Source organism: Homo sapiens, chromosome 22 (genome assembly GCF_000001405.40).
Source record: "Homo sapiens chromosome 22, GRCh38.p14 Primary Assembly".
In the NCBI taxonomy this organism is placed as follows: domain Eukaryota; kingdom Metazoa; phylum Chordata; class Mammalia; order Primates; family Hominidae; genus Homo; species Homo sapiens.
The window spans coordinates 46,232,284-46,254,919 of record NC_000022.11 but is presented as its reverse complement, the minus strand read 5'-3'; the positions used below and the strand labels follow the sequence as shown (position 1 = coordinate 46,254,919).

At 49.5% G+C, this 22,636-nt stretch overlaps 2 protein-coding genes across 27 annotated transcripts in view, besides 4 other annotated features; one reads left to right on the top strand and one right to left on the bottom strand.

Annotated features, from left to right (window-relative positions):
• Positions 460-539: an enhancer, noted in NCBI's record as "active region_19233". NCBI's record gives its function as "activates an Ori minimal core promoter by ATAC-STARR-seq in GM12878 lymphoblastoid cells {active_cell/tissue: GM12878}" and the evidence as "EXISTENCE:reporter gene assay evidence [ECO:0000049][PMID:35858748]".
• Positions 4,337-4,844: an enhancer, noted in NCBI's record as "H3K27ac-H3K4me1 hESC enhancer chr22:46645973-46646480 (GRCh37/hg19 assembly coordinates)". NCBI's record gives its function as "activates a minimal SCP1, AML or CMV promoter by ChIP-STARR-seq in naive H9 embryonic stem cells {active_cell/tissue: H9 hESC(naive)}" and the evidence as "EXISTENCE:reporter gene assay evidence [ECO:0000049][PMID:30033119]".
• Positions 4,439-4,768: a silencer, noted in NCBI's record as "silent region_13906". NCBI's record gives its function as "represses an Ori minimal core promoter by ATAC-STARR-seq in GM12878 lymphoblastoid cells {active_cell/tissue: GM12878}" and the evidence as "EXISTENCE:reporter gene assay evidence [ECO:0000049][PMID:35858748]".
• CDPF1 (cysteine rich DPF motif domain containing 1) lies at positions 4,627-10,907 on the top strand. 4 transcript variants are annotated; one of them, NM_207327.5, is made up of 4 exons: positions 4,627-4,664; positions 6,636-6,748; positions 7,699-7,810; positions 9,682-10,907. In NM_207327.5, exons 2-4 carry the CDS (start codon positions 6,636-6,638, stop codon positions 9,826-9,828), a joined length of 372 nt encoding a protein of 123 aa, NP_997210.3. In that variant the 5' UTR covers positions 4,627-4,664; the 3' UTR covers positions 9,829-10,907. The 4 variants fall into 4 exon arrangements, with proteins under 4 accessions (NP_997210.3, XP_011528262.1, XP_011528267.1 ...); XM_011529960.3 differs by having other exon boundaries at positions 7,699-7,814; XM_011529965.3 differs by having other exon boundaries at positions 4,627-5,027.
• Positions 4,879-5,048: a silencer, noted in NCBI's record as "silent region_13905". NCBI's record gives its function as "represses an Ori minimal core promoter by ATAC-STARR-seq in GM12878 lymphoblastoid cells {active_cell/tissue: GM12878}" and the evidence as "EXISTENCE:reporter gene assay evidence [ECO:0000049][PMID:35858748]".
• Positions 11,164-22,636, bottom strand: part of PPARA (peroxisome proliferator activated receptor alpha) — a 93,231-nt gene continuing 81,758 nt past the window's right edge. For 12 of the 23 annotated variants that reach the window (XM_047441420.1, XM_047441421.1, XM_047441423.1 and 9 more), the window contains one exon: positions 11,164-19,787. In XM_047441420.1, coding sequence (XP_047297376.1) covers positions 19,540-19,787 — 248 coding nt within the window. In that variant the 3' untranslated portion in view covers positions 11,164-19,539. The remainder of the gene's footprint in view (positions 19,788-22,636) is intronic. The other 11 variants (NM_005036.6, NM_001362872.2, NM_001393946.1 and 8 more) reach the window with 1 other exon arrangement.

The following is a 22,636-nucleotide window of genomic DNA, read 5'->3' as shown; positions in this document are numbered from 1 at the left end:
CACCTGACTTCTGAACGGATTGAAAAAAAGGGTCAGCAGGTGTCCAAATGATTACTTTTTACTGATAGAGGCTGGTTGCAGTTGGGTCAAATGCACTTGCCCACTGAACTGCAGAATGAGGGAGTTCGAGACCCAGTTGCAGGCAAGTTGCAGAGGCCTGCCCTTCAAGGCAGCAGAGGCTGCTGGCAGGAGGGCGAGGCAGACACATGCTGTCTGTGGGTGGGCATTCCCAGGCCTTCTCCTCCAGTTTGGTAATCCACTGAAGTCCCTGACCCTTCCCAGGGGTTAAGCGGGGTCAGGATAGGCTAGTTGGCCACCCTTCCCAGGAAGAAAGCACCAGGGGTGGAGAAGGGTTTCCCACCAACACAGCCTGAGCTGTGCAGTGGGAGAATGAATTACAAATGAGTCAGGGAGGGCCACAGTTGTAACCACAGGGGCCACGTGGGCAGAGGCGGTAGGGAGTCATTGGAGGCCCAGGAACAACCACTGGAGGTGGTTTGAGTGACGACCAGGGACAGCTGCTGTGGGGCCTGCCAAATGAGACAAGAATCTCAATTTCTTGGTGAAAGTGAGAAATCCAGCAGTCACAGGAGTTTTTCCAGGCATGTTGGGAAAGAGAGTACGAGGGGTTTTCTTCTAATCTGTTAGAGTGATGACAGGTATTTATACAGTTTAGAAACAAAGAGATGCCAATTATACCATTATCAGGAGGACAAGGTGTCAAGTAACAAAAATTCAGGTTTCTTTTGAAGGCCATTTTCACAGGACAGAGCAACAATTTGTGTGTGTGTTGGGTTGGAGGTGTCCTTTTTTCTTTTTTTTTCTTTCTTTTTTTTTTTTTTGAGATGGAGTCTCGCTGTCACCCAGGCTGGAGTGCAGTGGCTTGATCTCAGCTCACTACAACCTCCGCCTCCTGGGTTCAAGCAATTCTCCTGCCTCAGCTTCCCAAGTAGCTGAGACTACAAGTGTGCACCACCACGCTCGGCTATTTTTTGCATTTTTTTTTTTTTTAGCAGAGATGGGGTTTCACCATGTTGGCCCGGCTGGTCTCAAAATCTTGACCTCAGGTGATCCACTTACCTTGGCCTCCCAGTGCTGGGATTACAGCGTGAGCCACTGCGCCCGGCCCATAGCAACAATTTCTAAAGGAGTCTTTTTTTTTTTTTGAGATGGAGTATTGCTCTGTTGCCCAGGCTGGAAGATCTGAGCTCACTGCAACCTCTGCCCACGGGGTTCAAGCAACTCTGGTGCCTCAGCCTCCCAGGTAGGTGGGACTAAGCAATTCTGGTGCCTCAGCCTCCCGAGTAGGTAGGACTACAGGCACACTCCCACCAACGCCCAGCTAATTTTTCTATTTTTTTAGTAGAGATGGGGTTTCACCATGTTGGCCAGACTGGTCTCAAACTCCTGGCCTCAAGTGATCCACCCGCCTCGGCCTCCCAAAGTGCTGGGATTACAGGCATGAGCCACCGCGCCCAGCCTAAAGGAGTCTTTTAAGACTCTTGTTCTCATTATACTTCCAGGGATAGGGTAGGACTATTCCAGAATAATTGGCTATAGTCACGAATACCCTCCCACTGTCTCTGTTGCACAGAACAAGAAGATGGATATTCCTGGTTTTGTTCTCAATTTAGCCCCTTATTAAATACTCAAGAGTAGTATTTAATATTTAATAAAAACAAGTTTTATATGCAGAGAAAGTTCAATTGCTGTAGGTACAGAGAAGGGGATATATGCCCTTCAACTATCTCAACACTTATTGTTAATTATGAAGACTTTGCATTTTTAAGGCCTGCTTCTGGAATTTCATTAGTTAGCACTAGAAACAAAATGCAAGCCTTTAGACTTCCATGTTACTGGCAGAAATGGAGAACGGGGCGAATAGGATATTCAGTGAAGTGGGGTACATAAGAAGTTATTCTTCCACAGTACCCCCTTTTGCTGCTATTAGCAATATTTTAGCTCTAGATTTTCATCTGCATTCAATTCCTTCTGATTTTCAGATTTTCTTTCACAGTCTTCACCTAAATACACAATGTACAATATCTGATATTGTGATAATCTTTTAAGATTACATCCATACAACATTTTATAAGTATTGCCACAACATATATGCATTTTTCCCAGCAAGCCCACCCCTAGCATCTGTGGGGCCTAGGGCAGGACTACAAATCTCTGTATGTCTAAATATTTAAAAGCTTACGAACTGTTACATAAAATATTTATATCCACTTACCTGGACAAATACACCTTCATAAAACAGAATTCAAAATTATGTGTAAAACTATGGTTTTAATATAGCTGAAAATTGGCAAAATATTAAAGATAGCTAATTTTTATTGTGTATCTCTAGGTATTATGTTGATGGGCCACTAATGCTTGGATGGGTAATAAAGACATACATAATCACATAATCCATAAATTATGTTATTTCTTCTATAAATGTTTCTCTTGTCTTCATTTCAGAAGAATGACTAATGAAGATTTTCACGCAATTGCATTCTTTTGACAGTAGTGCCAAATTAGACAAACTTTCCTGAGTCAGTATACTTTCAGATAGTTTTTAGTTATTTCAATTGGGAGAAACTTGACTCTGCTGAGTGGTAACGAATTATGAATAAATTCTTAAAGCGTTATATGTAGAACTGAATCATGACTGTTGATATCATGTTTAAACAGTGTAGAAAGGGTGCATATGAAAAATTATGATTGCAGAAAATATTACACAATATTTTCATTATATAAAATAATGTTATTATTTCACCATTATCATCGTTTCTTACATTTAGATCCATACAGGATTTCTTACGTTTTTCTTTTACGTTGTTGGGGTATTACCAAGAAAACTGAAAACTGCGGTAGATTACTCACTTTGTTTGAATCTCTCTCTTCAGTACAATCTACACCTTGATCTACCATCGCCGGAAAATTGTCTCTATAGAAGTTAGTTTCAGAATCATTCATCCATAAATCTTTTTCTTCAGACTCCAGCAAATGCTTCTAGTTCCGATTTTCTTACATTGTACTTTAATGTCATTTTAGTGCTTATTTCATATGCAGTTGCTTTTTGGAAACCATTTTCTCCTAAAACTTTATGCAATATTTTAAATCCTTTTGGATTCTTTAAAACGTTTTCTAATTGTAATAACTGGACAGCTCAAATACAAAATTAACTCTATTTTCTGCCAAAGACCACGATTTGCTCTTTGAATGCTGCCTATTATTTCACTTAACTCTTTTAACGCATCTCATGTGTTAACCTGTCTACAATAAGTCAAATTGCTTTAACAGCACTCATGGGGTTACCATCATTGTATCTGAGGGTAGCCACAGGTCAAATTCAAAATGCTTCAAGATGTTCCATCTTTAGACACCGCCAGAAACAAACAAACAACCCAGTATGTCATCTTTGAAATGATCCAACGAATCGAATGCCGTTGCTCTAAGTACAGTGGAGGTCATCGAAATCCAGCTGCTTGCTAATCGCTTGCTAATTTCTGGGGCCCCTCTTGCCCAGGTCTAAGAGTGGTTCTGGTTTCCATTAGTGCTAAAATGCCTTCTATATCCTTACTTCTCAATTCGCCAAAGGAGCAAGTCCCAGACCCCAGCCTGCTGCAACTGGGCAACATTCCTACAGATGTGGCTTGACAAACCAAGAATAAATTCTGGTCTCTCAGGAACAGAGACGAAGCACCCCTCGGCCTAGGGAAAGGTCACAGAGGGCCCCGTAACGCAACAGCATGTGAAAGGCTGCCGGCTGGTGGCACAGGCAGACCTTCTCCCGCGTGGAGCAAAACCCTCAAATCTTTGGGGGAAGGAGGGTGGCCATCCTGTCGTCCCCAAAGCACAGGTGAAGGCCCGCGGCGGCTGGGGCGAGGGACTCGAGCTGGGAGGATCGGGGCCCACAGGCAAAGCCAGGCCGGCTTCAGAGTCCGGGCCCCTGACCCCAAGGAAAGGTGCCTCTCACACACCGGAGGCTCCAGGAGTGGGGCGGGCATTTCGGGTCCAGGGCACGGCGTGTCAGAGGCCACGGGCGGGAACAGAAGGAAGCAGGTGTGGCTGGTGCCTGGGGGCGAGGGGCAGCGGAGAGGCCCGGGAGGCTAAAGGAGAACGCGGCGCAGACCCGAGGGGCGCCGCAGGCGACGTGGGCTTTGGAGGAGCAGGGACAGGTCCTGAGACCCCGTTGGGCCGACACACCCCCTCCTGCATGCGGGGGCAGACGTCCCGGTGGGGTAGACTGGCAGCCTAGTCCGCGGCGCGGGAGGGCAGGTGGGAGACTGGAGGCGCCCTCGCGCCCCTCAGCTATCCGGGAGCCTCGCGCCGGCGACCTCGACCCTGTCGAACCCGGCGGAACACTCAGAAAGAAGCTGAGCGCCTCGCAGCGGCCAGGACAGCGGGCCAGGCCCGCGCGCTCCCGCAGCGCACGGCCAGACGCGACGCCCCTCAGCACGGAACCCAGCCTCGCGGACTACCCCGAAGCTCAGAGCCACATCCCGCGCAGAGGACCGCGGCGACCGGAAAAGCAAGGCAGAGGCGGAAAACCACCGCGAGGTCCCGCCTCCCGCTCCGCGCCTGCGTCTGCGGCTGCACCGGGGTTGGCCGGGCCGCGGTGGGGCGGGGCCGCTCAGGCGCCTTGGACGCGGAGCCGTGGGACGAGGGCGGCGGTGAGTTCGAGGTGGCAGAGTGACTGGGGCGAGCGTGCTGTGGCCCTTCCCTGCGCTGCCTCAGGGTGCCTCCCGCTCGCCGGGACTGAGTTCCGCGCCGGCGTGGCCTGCTGGGTTCCAAGCGCCAGGAGTCGGCGCAGCCGCTCTCAGCTTTGGGGACGGGACCGAGAAGCGGGGTGTGGGCCTCACGGGACTGTCCCCCCTGACCTCGGGCAGCGCTGGGGCGAGAGAGGGCAGGCGGAGGCTCGCGGGGACCACCAGCATCCCCGGACCCTCTCAGCCGTCCCTGTTCACAGGCACCGCCCCCAGGAGCCTCGGCAGGGGCCTAGGACGCCCCGGCGTGCAGAAGAGAAGCGGGATCAGGTTCACGCACACCCGCGATCGATCGTAACTTTTGTTTTGAGACAGAGTCTCGCTCTGTCGCCCAGGCTGGAATGCAGTGGCGCGATCTCGGCTCACCGCAACCTCCGCCCCCCCAGCCCCCGCTCCCCAACCCCCCGCTCAAGCGATTCTCCTACCTCAGTCTCCTGAGTAGATGAGATTAGAGGCGCCCGCCCCCACGCCCGGCTAATATTTTATTTTATTTAATTTTAATTTTTATTTTTTTGAGAAGGAGTCTCGCCCTGTCGCCCAGGCTGGAGTACAGTGGCACAATCTCGGCTCACTGCAATCTCCGCCTCCTAGGTTCAAGTGATTCCCCTGCCTCAGCTTCCTAAGTAGCTGGGATTACAGGCACCCGCCACTATGCTCGGCTAATTTTTGTACTTTTAGTAGAGATGGGGTTTCGCCATGTTGGCTAGGTTGGTCTTGAACTCCTGACCTCAGGTAATCCGCCCGCCTCTGGCTACCAGAGTGCTGGGATTACAGGTATGAGCAACCACACCGGGCCAGACTTAACTTTTAAAGTCACTGGTAACCCATGCTTCCTGGAGTTGCATCTGGGGACACCCAGTGGGGAAAGCCATCGCATTTGATACGCCTTTATACACCACGCTCAGTTCAGGCGAGGGGAGGTCACAGCCAAGAGCTAGGGGCCAGCTGATAATGTCGTACTTGATTCCATAGTCAAAGAAGGAGCTGGGTAATCAGCAAAATTGTAACTTTTGATGAACCCATCAGATGGCAGCCATTTAGCCAGAAATCTAAGGAAAGAGAGGCCTCCAAGACCCAACCATGAACATGAGAAGGGGGTTCCATACAAGCAGATAAGAAAACAGTTTTTTTGTTTGTTTGTTTTTTGAGATGGAGTCTCGCTGTCTCCCAGGCTGGAGTGCAGTGACGCGATCTCGGCTCACTGCAAGCTCCGTCTCCTGGGTTCACGCCATTCTCCTGCCTCAGACTCCCATGTAGCTGAGACTATAGGCGCCCGCCACCACGCCTGGCTAATTTTTTGTATTTTTAGTAGAGGCGGGGTTTCACCATGTTAGCTAGATGGTCTCGATCTCCTGACCTCGTGATCCGCCTGCCTTGGCCTCCCAAAGTGCTGGGATTACAGGCATGAGCCACTGCGCCTGGCCAAGAAAACAGTTCTAATGTCCACACCACGTGTGGACTAATGTGAGGGCATAGAGCTTCTAGGAGCAGCAGAAACAGGAGATTTTGCACCCACTCTGGGCCCTTCTCCACCAGCGTTCACTGGGGGCTTGTGGTAAAGAATGGGGCAGAGCAGGAGACCGGAACGCTTTTACCGTGGTGCAGACCTGGAAGAAGAGATGGGTGCTCTGGCTTGATCCTGTCTGGATCCTTCTCTCTAGCAGTACAAAAACCTTAAACCATTGGAATATGGACAGCAAATCCTGTCACTCTGGGCACCGGTGAAAACCTGTTTCAGCTGGGGATAGAGAAAAGGGTACGGTAGGGAGGCAAGAAACTGTGCTAGGACTATATGGTTAGGGTCTTCATAGCTGGGAAAGGGGCAGGATTCCTGAGAAAGCCTGTGACCCAGGGACACCCCATCTCTTGATCTTGCAGATGGCGTCCCATGTAGAGTGCCGTCCTCTGGGAGTGTTTGAGTGTGAACTCTGTACCTTGACAGCTCCGTACAGCTATGTGGGACAGAAGCCCCCCAACACCCAGTCGATGGTGTGAGTGCATGCCTTTTGGGCCAGTGCCGGGGAGGCCTGTGCCCAGTGCTGGTTGGTGGGTGGTGTGCCTAGGTCTGACAACTGTCTCAGGTGTGGAGCTTTAGACCCCACCCTGGCCAGGCTCTGAATGCTTCTGGTGTAATCTCTGGAGGCCTGGGCAAGGCTTGAGGTCTGACTCTTCCAGAACCTTCCTCCACACCTAGCCCAGAGTCCAATACCTGCTCTAGCTGTGGGGGAGCAGCTCAGCAGCTGGGGGACCTGTGGTGGCCTCCCCCTTTGGGGCTGCACCCTTGCCATGACACTTTCTTAATGGGAGGCCTGTCTCCCCTGCAGACCTGGATTAGAGCCAGTGGGTCAGGGGGCTTATCTCTTGACCTCCAGCTTGTCCTTCATCAAATGCCACTTTGTTGGAAAGCTGGCCGGTGTGTTACTCACATGGGATGCAGTGGCAGGGGCATGGCTTTTTCCTTCTGGCTGTCGTCCCTCTGCTGACCAGGAGCCTGAGTGTCATCATGTCACCCTGGGGTCTCATTCTGATGTGTAGCATGAGGCCAGCTGGCTTCCAGGGGCTGTGAGGGTGTGGCTTGGGGTGTAGGGAGGCCTGGGGTATTCAGGTGGCAGCCTTGTGCCCCCACTGTGGTGAATCAGTCAGGGTCTGGGGGCCCATGTTGCAGCAGCCCTGCTTTTGGCTGAGAACAAGGGGTTCTCTCTACCATGGCTGTTACAGAGGTGAGAGCAGGTTCAATTTCAGTGCCAGTGTGGCCCCCAATTGCTGATCCTTTCTGTCACTGCCCTGCAGCACGGGTGGCCTAGTCCCCTGCCCTGATGAGCCCACGCAGGTATGCAGGCCCTGCAGAGGTGCAGGCTGCTGCTGCCTGGCCATAGGTCATGGCTGATTTTCCGACGGCAGAGATTTGGGCTGTTCTGACGCTGCATTCACTCTCCTGCAGCCTCCTGGAGGAAAGCTATGTCATGAAGGATCCCTTCACCTCCGACAAGGACAGATTCCTGGTCCTCGGCTCGTGCTGCAGTTTGTGCAGCAGGCTGGTGTGTGTGGGCCCGGTGGGTAAGCAGCGTGGGCTGGGGCCACCTGTCCTTGCTGTGGTTATCCTGGAGCTCTCCCTGGGTAGGGAGGGCTGGGAGAGAGGGAGCAGCGGGTTCACCCCATTATAGATGGGGCCCCTCAGCTGATGAAGGGGAGAGGTGAGAGGGCAAGCTAGGGTCAGTTAGAGGGTCTCAGCCTGGTGTAGGAATGGAAATAGGTAATTGGTGGCTCTGCACCCACCCCAGTGGCCCCTCAGGGTTCCTCCCCTTCCCACCAACAGTGCAGACAGTCCTTGTGCGCCCTCTCACCAGGATGGTGACTTACTTTCTAGATGTTCTTGGAGGGATCTCCAGGAGAAGGGACTGTCCTTTCATGAGCACTTGTTGTGTGCCAGGTCCTGTGCTTGGGACCTGTTTTACTGCTGAGGCTTCATTCAGTCCTGCCCCTTAGTCAGGTAAAGCAGTATTATATTCCACCCATTTTATAGATGAGGGAACTGAGCTTCAGAGAGGCTGGGTGGGCCAGGTTCACCTGGGTAGCTGTAAACCCAAGGACGGATGGAAGTGGAGCAGCATGGCTTTCACAGCGTGCCCAGTGTACTCAGAGTGACCCCAGAGTCTGAGAAGTCCCTGAGCATCTGCCACAGGTTGACACACACAAAGGGGAGCTGTATCAATAGCCAGGGGGACGAGATGGGCCAGGGTGGGAGGAGCCTCCGCAGTGTGGCATGGGAGTATCTGAGGCTCATGGAGGAGCTGGTGGTCCAGGAGAAGCTGGGAAAGGAAGACTGCAAAGGTGGGTGGGCCAGGTGGGGAGGTGGAGGTCTTGAATGCAACACCTTGGCCTTGGGCTGCTCTTCGTGAGCAGCGGGGTGGCGGGGGTGGGGGGCGCACGCAGGTACCACAAGTCTGCAGCTTTCTTTGTTTAAACAGTAGGTTGTTAGTGAGCGGATCTCCATGGCGAAGGGTCTTTTCTAAGAACTGCAGGAGGGCAGCCTTATGTTTGCGAGCACACTAAGCTTTAAGAACAGACAGACACCAAAAATAAGAGTGGCCTAAGTAAAGCAAATAGTTATTTACTTACTTTCTCCTATGTAAGAGTCCAGAACTGGTGGCCTTGGCTGGAAGGGCACCCCTGTTGTCTTCAGCAGAGTCTCTATTTGGGTCCCTTGTGGCTGTGGAGCTCCCACCATCATATTTGCATCCCAGGCAGCGGGAAGGGACGTGAGAGCACAGTCCATGCCTTCAAAGGGCATGACCAGGAGGTGGCACACACAGTTGCTGACGCCCCTAACCAGCCTGAGTCACATGGCGATGCCCAGTTACAGAGGGGGCTGGGGAATGTCATCCTTAGCCACGTGCTGTGCACCGTGATGAATCTCGGGAGTTCTAGTGTGTAAGAGAGAGGAGAGCGGACATGGCTGCACGGTTCTGGCCTCCTGCCCAGACTAGCTGGCTCGTCCATGGCGTCTTTGGTCTGTGGGGCTGTCCTTCCTGTCCCCTGCCGCTCCCAGCACCAGGTGGCCACTGTTCGTGCTGCGATAGCTGGGACGGGAGGACTCTGGGATTTTCGGGGCATGGCCTGTGCTCCAGCTTTCCATTGTTGTCACTGCCCCGTGATGGAGCAGAGCAGGCCCCAGAGTCTTTCTGTCCCATCCCAGCTGTTCCCACCCAGGGTAGCCCAGGCCTGCATTGCTTTTCTCCTGGACACCCTGCCAGGCCCTCAGGCCTGGCTCTCCCTCTTGCTGGTCTAGCTCTGGCCACCTGCCCACACTGTGCATGCTGGGGCCCCAGCCCAGCCCCCCAAGTGTGGGAAGGGCTGGCCCCTGGGAGGAGCTGCACCATGTTCCCAGGATACTCAAGCCTCCATCCTTGTCCACTTCTTTAAGGAATGCAGTTTATTCTACTCCAAGAGATTCTGCCTCCCTTGTGTCCGGGAGAACATCAATGCTTTTCCTCAGGAAATTCGGCAAGACTTGGAGAAAAGGAAAGCTCCATCAAAGAGGACCCCCAGCCAGCCCGGTTCTCGGACGTGAGTGCAACTGGGGCTAGGTCATCGGGCGGCACCCTGCACAGAGCTCCTGGGCCAGCCTGCGCCAGGGATGCTGCTGAGCTGGGAGCCGCCATGCCTGGCCTTGTTTCTGGACCACTGGGAGCAGCACTGCAGCCCAGGGGAGCTGGAGTCCAGCTTGGAGCAGCCACAGGCCCAGGGAGCTGTAGCAAGAGGGTAGTCCAAAGGCAGATGCCAGACAAGACACAGCCAGGAACCCGGCCAGGTCCCCCCACATGCCCCTCAGGGCCCAGGCCTGAGTGAGTGCTGCTCAGATGTGACTGAGAGGGATGACCTCCTTCAGCAGGGCAGCTCCTAAGAGGCTGCGTGCAGGTGCGTGTGGGGGGAGATGCCACACTGTGTCGGGGCCATGGTGCACTGTAGGTGGCTGCAATGGTCTCTCTGTAAGGAAAATCACTGACAGCAGCTCCTTCTGGACCCAGTCTGGAAGGTCTAGAGGGGGATAGAATTTTTATTTCATATCCTTATGTGGTGCTTGGAAAATGTTTTTAACCTTGACCATGTATTATGTTTATAATTAAAAACCCAAAGAACCAGCTCATGTTTGGAAAAGGAATCTTCCACTGAAACATTTGGATACCCGACGTTCTCCCTGGACACTTGGCCCGGCAATAGTTGGGGTCTCCTGGGAAGCTGAGTGCTGGCTTCTAGCCTCTCCAGTTCCCTCAGACTCTGTCTTCAGCTCGGGCCCCTCCGTTCTGTCTCCCTCGACTCCAAGTCAGGAATACCGTGGGCTTCCTGCCCTCACCCCACACCTCAAGACCATCCCACTGCTTGCCTGCTTGCCCCCTGCCATCTCGCACTCAGCCCTGGGTGCCTGTGAAGCCTGGCCCCACTGCCTGCCGGGGGTTCCTGCAGCACCCCCCTACTCCAGGCTCCCCATCTCCCTGAAGCTTCCAGGGTAGCAGCTGGTGGGACACTGATCTGTGAGCTCTGGAATGTCTGCTTAGAATTCTGAGAGGCAGGAACTGCTCTGTCTTTGTAACTACTCAAGGCCAACTGTCACATGAAGGAATGAATAAAGAGTTTTTACTGACTTGTGCACTGATGGACTTTAAGATGCTCACTGCTTTAAAAGTTCCCGTTGTATGTGACTTCAGACGAAAGGATGTCGTATTCCGGAGCCAGATTGTCCTTGATCCATTCTGTATGTTGAAGGACACAAAAGGGACTGTGCAGGTGGAGACAGCCTCCATGAGGGGCGCAGGGACTGTTCTGGCGGAGGGCGGACCCCACAGCTGGGGACTTGGTTCTTTTAGACCAAACAGTCCATCTCGCAGCATCACTCAAAACTCACCAAAAAATTTTAAAAAATAGTTTATTTTTTAAAACCATTAAGGCAAAACTGTACCCTGAAATTAACTCTGTACATTCATCAGTCTTACAGTAGGACATCCCAAACACAGAAGTTCCCATATATTCAGGATATAAATCAATACATGTGGTCAGTTCAGTCTCCTAATAGGAAAACGAAGACCCAAGATTTTTTTTTAAAATTAAGGTTATTTTATAGCCATTTTCTAATTGCCTGGAACCAATCAGTTCATGTGACTAGAAAAATTACTTTCGCTCTTCTCTGCACATCCTTGATTCCGGAGGTCCTGGATGCCCGCTCCCCCCACCAGGAGAGAGGTATGAAGTTGGAGAGAGGATGCTGGGGCCTGTGTGGCAGTTCCTACTTTGGAACTGCACCTTTTTAGCACAAATAAGAAGCTGTAAGCCCCAAAATACTGAGAGTATAAGGCACTCACTAGTAGAGCACATGTGGAGAGTCTGGGCCCAGTCCTTGCTCTGGGATCTGCCTCATTCTCGCGTGTGTTTCTGTCAACCCTCTCTCTTAGGGTTTTAGCCTAATGGCATTATGAATCCCAGAGGGTGTAACCAATATGCACCAAGAAGTTTTGCCAAGTTATTGGAAACAAGGTATGGGGAGACTCACGGGGTCTGTGGTTTCTGCTTTCTGCTTTGGGTTGGGCCACCTGGAGGATGCCAGAGAACCGGCACGTGCAAAGAATTTCCATCAGGACATTTCCAATTGCCAGCGTTCTTTGGTAATAACCCATAGGTAACAGTTCCCTGAAGAGCAGACAGCTATTTACTAAACAAGAATAGTGAAGGGTCTTTAGCGAAACACTGTTGTATGAAATCGGTGGCCTCTAATACGGAGTCTAAGGCCTCGCTGGTGGAAGTGACTAGAGATAGCCTCTCTTGTGCTCTGTGCATATACAGTGTGGTAAAGGGAACAGATTTCCACATTGAAAGTAAATTCTGCATGGCTCAGGAGAAATGAAGAGCTGTGTGTGTGTGTGTGTGTGTGTGTGTGTGCACGCACACGTGTACGCAGTGTATTTTAGATGTTTGATTTCAGCTTCCTTTGTGTTTCCAATAGGGTCAAGAGCCAGGCTTTTAAGAATATGAGTCAATTAACACTGATTTCAAAAGAATCCAAATGTTTCTTATTAAATGAGTGATTGTAAGTTAGTAAAATATTTGTATTAGGATATTTTTCAAAAAGTCAAATCACAGTATTTAAGATATAGCTATTAACGTAGTTCTTTTTACCACACAATGTAGAAAAAAGTGATATTTAACATGAACACTGTAACTTTACCAAAAAGAGTACTACATGGTCTTCATCTTTTGTGAGGTACATGAGAAAAGGAACTGACTGTGCCTTAAAAAAAGTGAAGTTGCCAAAAGTGAGTGATTTTATTGTGAAATGATCGGCCAGTCACTCGTCTCCGGGGCCTGAAGGCTGACCCTCTCTGACTTGAGGCACAGCCAAGGCCTGGGGGTCCGGGGAAGGTGCCCGACTGTGTCCCAGGGCTGCGGCATGCCCCCCCACGCCCGGTCACCACTTTTCCTAGGAGCCAGGCTGCGTGGACTGGGGGCCTGTTTGTGCACCAGTTTGCACGGCACTTTATCAATTCATTAAATGAATGGATTTTGGATGCTGGATGTGTGGGCAGAAGAGGGGCAAGAGAAGAGGTGGCAGGTAGACTCCCTCCTCCTCACATTTGACCCAACTAGCAAACTTAAAAAAAATAAAATAAAATAAAAGCTGACCCCCCTCCCCAGGTCTTAGTTTGCTATCTCTGATGTAAAAATCAATTATTTTTTCTCTCTTTTTTTTTTTTTTTTTTCAAATAATCCATCTAACAGCCATGAGACCACTCAAGTATTTGAGGTCATCAGCTGCGTCCATCAAGACATGATATTGAACATGGACACCATCTGGTCTGTTGGTCTGTTTTTGTTGGCAAAGGACTCCAAAAGGATGCAGTTGTATGTGTTTCAGCTGAACCACATACCATAGCTCCTCTCCCCTCACAAAAGGGTTTCTCTGGGGGGAGAAAAGTAACTGATTATACCTCTCATGTCTCAAACTGAAATTCTGAGAAGCAAATGGTCAGTTGAGGGCCCCATTCCAGATCTGCCGGGACGTCCTCAGATGTCCAGAGCTGGCAAAAGGTGGAGCAGGCAGCAGCCTTGGGCACCAGCCTGTCTCTTTCTGTTCTGATAAGGCCACACACATGGCTTTTTGTGATAAGCTTCCAGCCCATGCCACTGAAATAACGTTTAAGAACCTGCTGCATTTCACAGAAATAGCGTAATGGAAATCATTATGTAATTAAACAAAGCATGAAGCTCATTATCTTTTTCTTTTTAACAAAACCTTCAATTTCACATTTTAGTGTACACTGTGGTTTCCAGAGAAATATATGGATCTCCTATATTCTGAGTCAGACCAAATTTATTGCCTTTATTCTTACCCTAGTCTATGGGGTCAATAACCGTTTTCCTGAATGCTGTCAAAATGGTGCCTGAAAATATCTAAATCCCAGCAAAAACCTAGGCCTCAACTTTGGAACCCAGTCATAGATCTTTCTAGGCAGAAGGCCTCTCAGGGGAGTACATGCCCTGGGCAAAGGCCATGGACTCGGAAGCAGGAAGGTCACGGGATGATTTAATGGCATCGAATAATCCTTTGGTGAGATGGCCTTTGTTGCCCTCAGCACAGTCGAGGCAGGTTAATCATTTATTTGCCACAACCCTTCCTTGCTCTGTAAAGCTGCAGCACAACTGGGTGGTCCGTATAGCCTTTTCTGCCACAGATGTTTGTGGACATTTCACTTCCAGACTGTGACGTCTGAAGATGGGCTTGAATGACAGCAGCCATCATCGCTGCCATTAGGGAGGTGCACACAGCCCCCTTTGCTCGATGCAAATATTTGGTTGGTAAGAAATTCCAGTGCAGCTAAACAAGTCAGCTTGGACTGAGTTAAGAAAAGCTGGGCCACTTTTAACATGAGAAGAGCAGATACTTCCCCATGCTTGGCAATGCCAATGCCGTAAAAATGGGAAGTGTTGAGACAAACCTCCTGTGGACGAGAGGTTCCCGTGGACATTTTTAACAATCATGAGCCTTCAGGTGGTGGCATCAGTCTTCATGGGTGACTTCTATGGACAGCATAATTTTCTTGCCTCTCCTGAATCTATACTACTTTTCTGAATGTGAAAGAAGGTCTAAAAAGTAATCCCTCGGGATCCCTGCATCAGGCCAACCATGCTAACTGCAGAGGGTGAGGCTGGCAGTCCAGGAGATGGGAGCTGAGGACAAGGCTGCAGGCCCCTGGGTCACCTATCCTTGCACTCACCAGGTGCAAGAGTCTAGAAACAACAGGGAGGCTGCAGGAGGTGGAGAAAGTGCACCGTGCCTGGGGACCAGCGGCTAGCAACACCCAGCAGGCCCTACATCTGGAGGCTGGTGTTTTCATTTTAAAATGGAGGCTGATTTGCTGTTACCCCCTCAAACAGCTGAGGAGACCACAGGAACCTGCTTTGAAAGCTGCCCAGAGCCATGGCATCCATAGGTGGTGAGCTGTGGGCATGTTCTCCTGGTGGCATCTGCATTTTGAAAGGCCACACTGTTGAAGAGGTACCAGCTGTTGAAGGTGGCCAGCTTTCCCCAGGCCCCAGGAAGCCCCCCACCAAAGGCCAGGCTGTCGGTCAAGCCAGTCTTAGCTGGGTGCATTGGGCTTGCTGTGTTGAAGCAATGAATCTATTTTAAAACTGGAGTTCAGTGAGACATTTCAAAGACAGGTGTGGCCACTGGATCAGGACCAAAAAACCCTCCATCATGTATGCGGCTGGTAAGTAGCAGATGTGCGCAGAGATACAGTGGTTTGAAAATGGGAGTTTGAGGTGGGAAGTGCTTGGAACCAAACACAGAGAGGCCCAGGTGCAAGTTCAGAGGAGACAGACCTTAGGAAGTCGCGGTTTCATCAGGGCTTGCTTTGGTGCATCTGTTTCCATCCGCATCTGGTAGGGTCTCTCTGAGGAAGTGGCTTCCTCGTGGCCAGCAGGAAGAGGTGAAGAGGAGAGGGGGTGCTGGGGGCGGTGCGGGGAGGGGGGTTTGTCACTGCAGGCCGGGACCATCGGCCGCTTCTCCTAAGCCCAAGACGTGCCCAATGTCAGTTTCACCAAATTGGGGTAGCACCTTTTGCACGTATCTTCAAGGCTCCCTTTACACAACCGAAGTTCCTTCCAGACGTCATACGAGATGCTGCTCCCCTGTGTGTGGGCAGGCTCAGGTGTGTGCACTCAAGGAGTCTCCATCCCACCTGCCCTAACTACAGAGGCCACAGGCTGTGCGCCTCAGCTCTAGCATGGCCTTTTGCAGGGCCTGCTGAGGTATTTGTTACATGGTCCATTGCGGGGAAGTGGTGGCTAAGTTGTTGACTTCTCACGGTATAGCAAATCTCTCATTTGTACCTTGAGCTCTTGCTCGGCTCTGGGAGGCTGCCCTGTCCCTGGAACCTCCAGACAACGCTCCAGGAAGGCTGTTTCCCTGGGGGTCTAAAATGGCCCAGTGTAAGAAACGTATCAGCGCAGCAGAAGGGTGCCTTGTCTGCTCTCTAAATGCGAAACAAAACAAAACACAGCTCTTTAAAACAGGGACAGCTCTCCTGGGCATCCTTGAATGCTGAGTTCTGGGTTTCTGCCCCACTTCACGTCCATTATGTTCGTATAGCAAACACACCCGTTAGGAAGATGCTTTATACTCTTCTCATCGGAGCTGGAGGAAGGGTCAAGCGGAAACAGGCAAGCGAGGTGGGAAGAAAGGCACCAGCAGCCGTCAGCCCGTGCTCCCAGTCCCGCTCCTGCCGCTGTAACTGGAAGCATCTTGTTTTGACAATTCATCCAAACGGCCTTAGGCCCTGCACAGTTCTCCGGTCTCTGGAAGTGTGGTGGGGACGGAATCCAACATGTGGGACACCCAGCTGGAAGTGCCAGGAGGTGGGAGAGGAGGGATGCGCCGCCAGGCTCCCCTGGACAATGGAGAGGCCTGCGTCTGCTCCCGAGCCACAGCCAGCTGGCACACAAGAGGCACGTCTGGGAGGAGTCCCTCGCCGTGCCTTCACCCTGGTCAGCACGGTAGACCAAGGCTGTTAGGTCTCTGAGGACTTTGGCACTTTTTGCTATTAAAAGTTGAGAAAATGAAAAACCGTGTTTAAACAATGACTTGTTGAAGAGTGGGTAAATTTGGCGACTTCCTACATTCGCTGCCAGAGGGAGCGGGTGCCACACATGTGCTCCGACACTCCTGGAATCTGTCCTGACATCTCTTTTGTTCTTTTGGCTGATGTCTGTTGAAACCCAGCAAGCAAGAAATGCACTCTGTTAATAGTTCCCATTTGAACTGGGGCATAATCAGCCTATATTTGAGTATTGATGCCCTGAGAAATCTATGATTAGGTGACCCAAAATATTCCAGCATTGAGTGGCAATTAGTGGTTTTGTTATTTAAAGAAATAGGAATGCCTGATTTCCTTCCCTATCAACACAAGAGACCAATGTCGAGTGACTTTCAGCCTGAGGTCACGGGTGTCTCCATTCTGGCTTCACCAGAGATGTCCCTGGAAGTCTTGCTGGGCCTTAAGGAAACCAAAATGCTCACCATCGCTGCTGAGTGTCCCGGGAGCTAACATCGAACTTGCCAGTCAGCTCACTGTTACTGCTGAAAGCCTGAGACGGGGAGCTATTTTAAACAGGTTTTATGAAAATGTAAACAGAACAATGACTTCTCTGAAAACCATGAGGCTCACTTTCCTGGACCACATCTCCTTGAATGGCACAGGGTACATCAGAGCGAGCAGCTGCAGGGTCGCTGGGGACAACACAGGCTTGGCATTGGGCTCCAGCCCCTGGATCTTGTTGACACAGGGGCTTCTCATTTTAGGAAATAATACTGAAACGGATGCACCATGACAGACACTCAAAGGCTAGCTTCTTTCTGAATTAGGATGGCCACTTGGCTGGTGGCATATATGGAAACACTTTTATTTGCTTTTGGTTCCTAAGACACTTGGGCAGACTGCCCGCCGCTGCTGCTGCCATTGCTGGCCAACAGCCCCTTTGATTGCATCTTTTTTTTTTTTTTTTGCCGGGGTGGGAGAGGGTGGAATCTAACTCTGTCACCCAGGCTGGAATGCAGTGGTGAGATCACAGCTCACTGCAGCCTCGACCTCCTGGGTTCAAGCAATCCTCCCACCTCAGCCTGCAGAGTAGCTGGGACTACTGATGTGTGCCACCCCGATGAACTAATTTTTAAATTTTGTGTACAGACAGGGTCTTGCTATGTTGCCTAGGCTGGTCTCGAACTCCTGGGCTCAAGTGATCCTCCCACCTCGGCCTCCCAAAGTGCTGGGATTCCATGTGTGAGCCACTGTGCCTAGCCTGATTACAAAAACCAAAACGGACTAAATTTGTAATTTTTAAAAAAGGATGTCCTAACCCTAACTTTCACTTTTTTCTAGTGGAAGTCTCACACTGTGTCCTTCCCACTCTCGCATTTTCATAATGCTGGTCATGGGACCCTTATCAATCCTAATCATTCTTAAAATAATAATGACCTCAGAAGAGCCAAATTTTCTAAAGATGGGGGAGAGGCATCGACGATACCTCCAGGTGCCCAGCGACTCCCTGGAGGCGGTGGTCCTGGCAGTTCCAGTCCAGATCTAAAAATTCTCAACAGGACAATTTATCTACCAGGTGGACAGAGAGAGAAAGTGTTTCCAGGTCCATATATTCTTGACAAACTACCATAATCAACGCTGCCTTCCCAGCTGGACTGAGGTTGGTAAGTTGGTTTTGAAGGCTAAAACAAAAATTTTAGATGTTGAAAAAACTACCTTACATACAAAGGAGACTTAACAACCTAAACCATTGTAAAAAATAACCAACTCTTGTGAAATCTGCCATTTGAAGTAAAACTGCCATTTGAAGAAGACTCTACCCCCTCTCTCGATCCGCAGGGTGACTGGCTCCCACCCAGCCCAGGCTATGAAGACACATGTGCCTCGTCTGCGCTCCAGAGAGCATCTACTGTCACCAAGAGTTAAAACAATAAAACATCATATCTTTAAAAGCAACATAACAAAAGATACGGGAGCTGCCAAATGGGGCCCGGAGGAACACTGACAAGTAAGGTGTCAGTCTGTCCCTAAGAACACCACCATTCCCACAGACAGCTGGACTGGGTGGGTTCAGGTTGACTGGACGGAGCTGAGTGGAGCAGGAAGCTGGCGGGCTTCGGGAGCTTGTCTCGTCCCGCTTACCACGGGTGCTAGCTTATGACAGTCCAGAGCGGGGGTCTTGAGACTCTGTTTTCTGGGCTCTTCTACGCAAACCTGGAAATGGGCCTTTCCACATATTAGTTACAACCACGAAAACAGTGAGCCAAAAACAAAACAACAGCTGCATTTTGATAGCTTATCTAACAGATTTTTTTTTTGTTTGTTTGTTTTTAAGACAGAGTCTCGTTCTGTCACCAGGCTGGAGTGCAGTGGTGCAGTCTTAGCTCACTGCAACCTCCAACTCCCTGGTTCAAGCAATTCTCCTGCCTCAGCTTCCCGAGTAGCTGGGATTACAGGCATGTGCCACCACACCCGGCTAATTTTTGTATTTTTAGTAGAGACAGGGTTTCACCATGTTGGCCAGGATGGTCTCGATCTGCTGACCTTGTGATCCACCCGCCTCGGCCTCCCAAAGTGCTGGGATTACAAGTATGAGCGACTGTGCCTGGCCCAAACAGTTCTTTAAAATTCTCCATCCTATGATTAAAAAGCAGCATGTTGTCTTTCTTTAGATTCAGGAAACAGAAGTGAAGTCTTTGAAATAAATATTTTGCTGCTTTTTACATACTTCACCTTTGGATACATCTAGACTTATAGGATTATAAACATTGTTAAAAAGTGCTGATTAGTTTTCAGAATTATAAAGGAGCACAATAGTCAAAAGCGGGGTGAATGGGAAGACAGGCCACGAATTTTGAGGTTACCAGTTAATTAAATGGTAAATCACGAATGTGATCTAAAGCAATGTGCATTGATTAACATCGGGTGAGTTAAAATCAGACCATTGAGCATAATTCGCCGTAATCTTCCCAGTCCTGAGATTAGCCACCTACCCCCAGCATTTGAGTTCTATGCTCTTAGAAGTACTGGTTAAAACAAAGATATGGAATAATATGCCGGTTACCTACAGCTCAGACTGTCCAAGCTCTAAGGTTAAAGTGGTGGATATTTGTGCAAAATCGTGCTGCTCCCCCGTCTCCTTTGTAGTGCTGTCAGCTTCAGAACTCCTGGAAAAGGTGTGGCTGATCTGAAGGAACTCAGTACATGTCCCTGTAGATCTCCTGCAGTAGCGGGTGCAGCGCAGCATCCGACTCCGTCTTCTTGATGATCTGCACCAGCTGCGCATGCTCCGTCACCAGCTGCCGGAGGTCTGCCATTTTTTGAAGAAGTTTTGGGAAGAGAAAGATATCGTCCGGGTGGTTGCTCTGCAGGTGGAGTCTGAGCACATGTACAATACCCTCCTGCATTTTTTCAATGTGTCCTACGTTTAGAAGGCCAGGACGATCTAGTCTCGAAAGAAGAGAGAGAGGTTTGAGTGTGATAATCACCCAAGAACTGCTTATCAGTTTCAGGAACCAAACATGCCTATTTTATGTGGCCTTTCTTAGAAAAAAACTGAGCTGCCTTTAGATATTGTCAACTTGACTGGAAGATAGACATAGGTTTTTCCAAAGTCAATAGGTGAAGTAGGGACAGACAGGACCAGTACTCTTTCCTAAATATTCATACTACTAGGCGGCAATAGTGCCCTAAGTACACCTTATGGTGCGGCCTTTTCACTTGTGATTTACCTGATGACCACCTGTCAGGGAGAAAAATTAGAGCTAGTAGGAGGAACAGTACATTCTGGAGATCACAACCACCAGTTTTGCATAATATGGGAAATGAAGCTTTTGAATCCAAACTAGATATCAAGCTTCAAGTGTTCCACCATATTTAAGGAGTGATTGTGTTAGAACTAGGTTTTGTAGGCCAGGCACGGTGGCTCACGCCTGTAATCCCAGATACTCGGGAGGCTGAGGTGGGAGAATCGCTTGAACCTGGGAGACGGAGATTGCAGTGAGCCAAGATCAGGAGACCCAGAGTGGGGAGGAGGGTGGGGCAGGTCTGAGACTTGGTGCAGGAAGAGTCAACATTCACACCAGATGACCTGCCTGGGGTAGCTGGCACTAGACATCCTGGGACAGTCTCAAAGCATGAGACCTGATTCTTGGTCCAGAAAATACTGCCCTGAGCCATGTTCAGCAGGCGGTGCTCCCTTACAGACCCAGTCATTACTATGATTCTTAACAGGGTTGCTAGTGATGAGGATTTAAACATCTTCATTGTTTTTGGTTGTAAATGTAATTATTAAGTTTTTATTTCTAAAATTCTTGTTTTTGTATTGTTTTAGTGATGGGGTCTTGCTCTGTTGCTTAGGCTGGACTGGAACTCCTAGGCTCAAGCAATCCTCCTGCCTCGGCCTCCAGAGTGGCTGGGGCTATAACTATTAAGTCTCTAAAGAGAGGAATTATTGCCGGGTGCAGTGGCTCATGCCTGTAATCCCAGCACTTTGGGAGGCCGAGGTGGGTGGGTCACCCGGGGTCAGGAGTTTGAGACCAGCCTGGCCAATATGGTGAAACCCCATCTTTACTAAAAATACAAAAATTAGCCAGGTGTGCTGGCATGTTCCTGTAATCTCAGCTACTCAGGAGGCTGAGGCAGGCGAATCACTTGAACCCAGGAGGCGGAAGTTGCAGTGACCTGAGATCGTGCCACTGCACTCCAGCCAGGGTGACAGACGGAGACTCTGTCTCAAAAAAAAAAAAAAGGAGGAATCTTTTGAAAAATAGAAATCCCCCCTCATAATTTTAATCCCACCATAATAGGTTTAACATATATCTCACTGGACATTTTTCTATATACATAGGATTGATATAGGATTATAATTTCCTTTATAAAACTGTGATCATGCTACATATAAATAGTTCTGCAACTGCATTTTACCCACAATGCTACATCCTGACCATACTAAAGGACAAATTATGCATAACTGCTTTGTCTTTGTACACTTTATGCCAGAGCGCAAGGACTTCCTTCATCTGACTTGTGCCCAGCCACACAGTAACGGGCACGGCTGGTAGGGCTGAGTCAGCTCCATGCTGACAGTGAGTCAATCCCCCAGGCGCAGTATGGCTGCAGGCAGTGTGGGAGACCCCATCTGTCTCCACCAACCCTGGGTAAGGTCAGCCGAGTTTGCAGTAGGTGGATGACCTTCCTAGACCTGAGATGGGGCTATTTAAAGGAACGTGACACCGAGCCAAAAATGTGGAGGCTGCAGAGCCAGCTTCCACAGAGAGGACCAGATCGGCCTTCCCTGGGATCTGCTTCCTCGGGCAAAGCAAACCTTGCAGTCACTGCCACTTGGCTGCTGACTGATATTATATTTTGCATTAGGAAATATACTTTTCATCAACATAACCAACTGTGACAGCAACTATACTGACATCTGTATAGCACTTCATACAATATTGTCTATAATATGAATACAACATCATTATATAATATATACAGGAATATCATAATATATAAATTATATCTGTTTATAATATTAGATATAATATAAACGAAATGTGTGTGTGTGTGTGTGTGTATAATTTTTTTTTTTTTTTTTTTTGAGACAGGGTCATTCTTCGTCGCCCAGGCTGGAGTGTGGTGGCGTGACCTTGGCTCACTGCAACCTTTGTCTCCTGGGCTTAAGTGATCCTCCCACCTCAGCCTCTCAAGTAGCTGGGACTACAGGTACATGCCACCATACTTGACTAATTTTTTCTATTTTTTTTTTTGTAGAGACGGGGTCTTGCCATGTTGCCCAGGCTGGTCTCAACCTCCTGGGCTCAAGTGATCCACCCACCTCAGCCTCCCAAAGGGCTGGGATTACAGGCCCATGTCCGACCTCTTTTTCTCTATATATATATTTGTGCAAAATATATAATTTTTTTTTAAAGAAATAGGTCTTGTTCTGTTGCCCAGGCTAGAGTGCAGTGGTGCATTCATAACTCATTGCAACCTGAACTCCTGGGCTCAAGAGATCCTTTTGCCTCAGTCTACTGAGTAAGTAGCTGGGACTAAAGGTGTGCACCCCCACACCTGGCTAATATTATGATTAAAATGTCATACATTTACATAATATTAAATATGTATTTATAGATAATAACAATATATACTATAATATTATACAATATTGTTATAATTCCCACTGAATTCTCAGCAGTGACTGGGGGTCAGACGTCTTCCCACCATGTGAGTGTCCCCTCCACTGGAACAGCTCAGGCTGGTACTGGATTTCCCATTGTCAAATTTTTCAAGACAGGA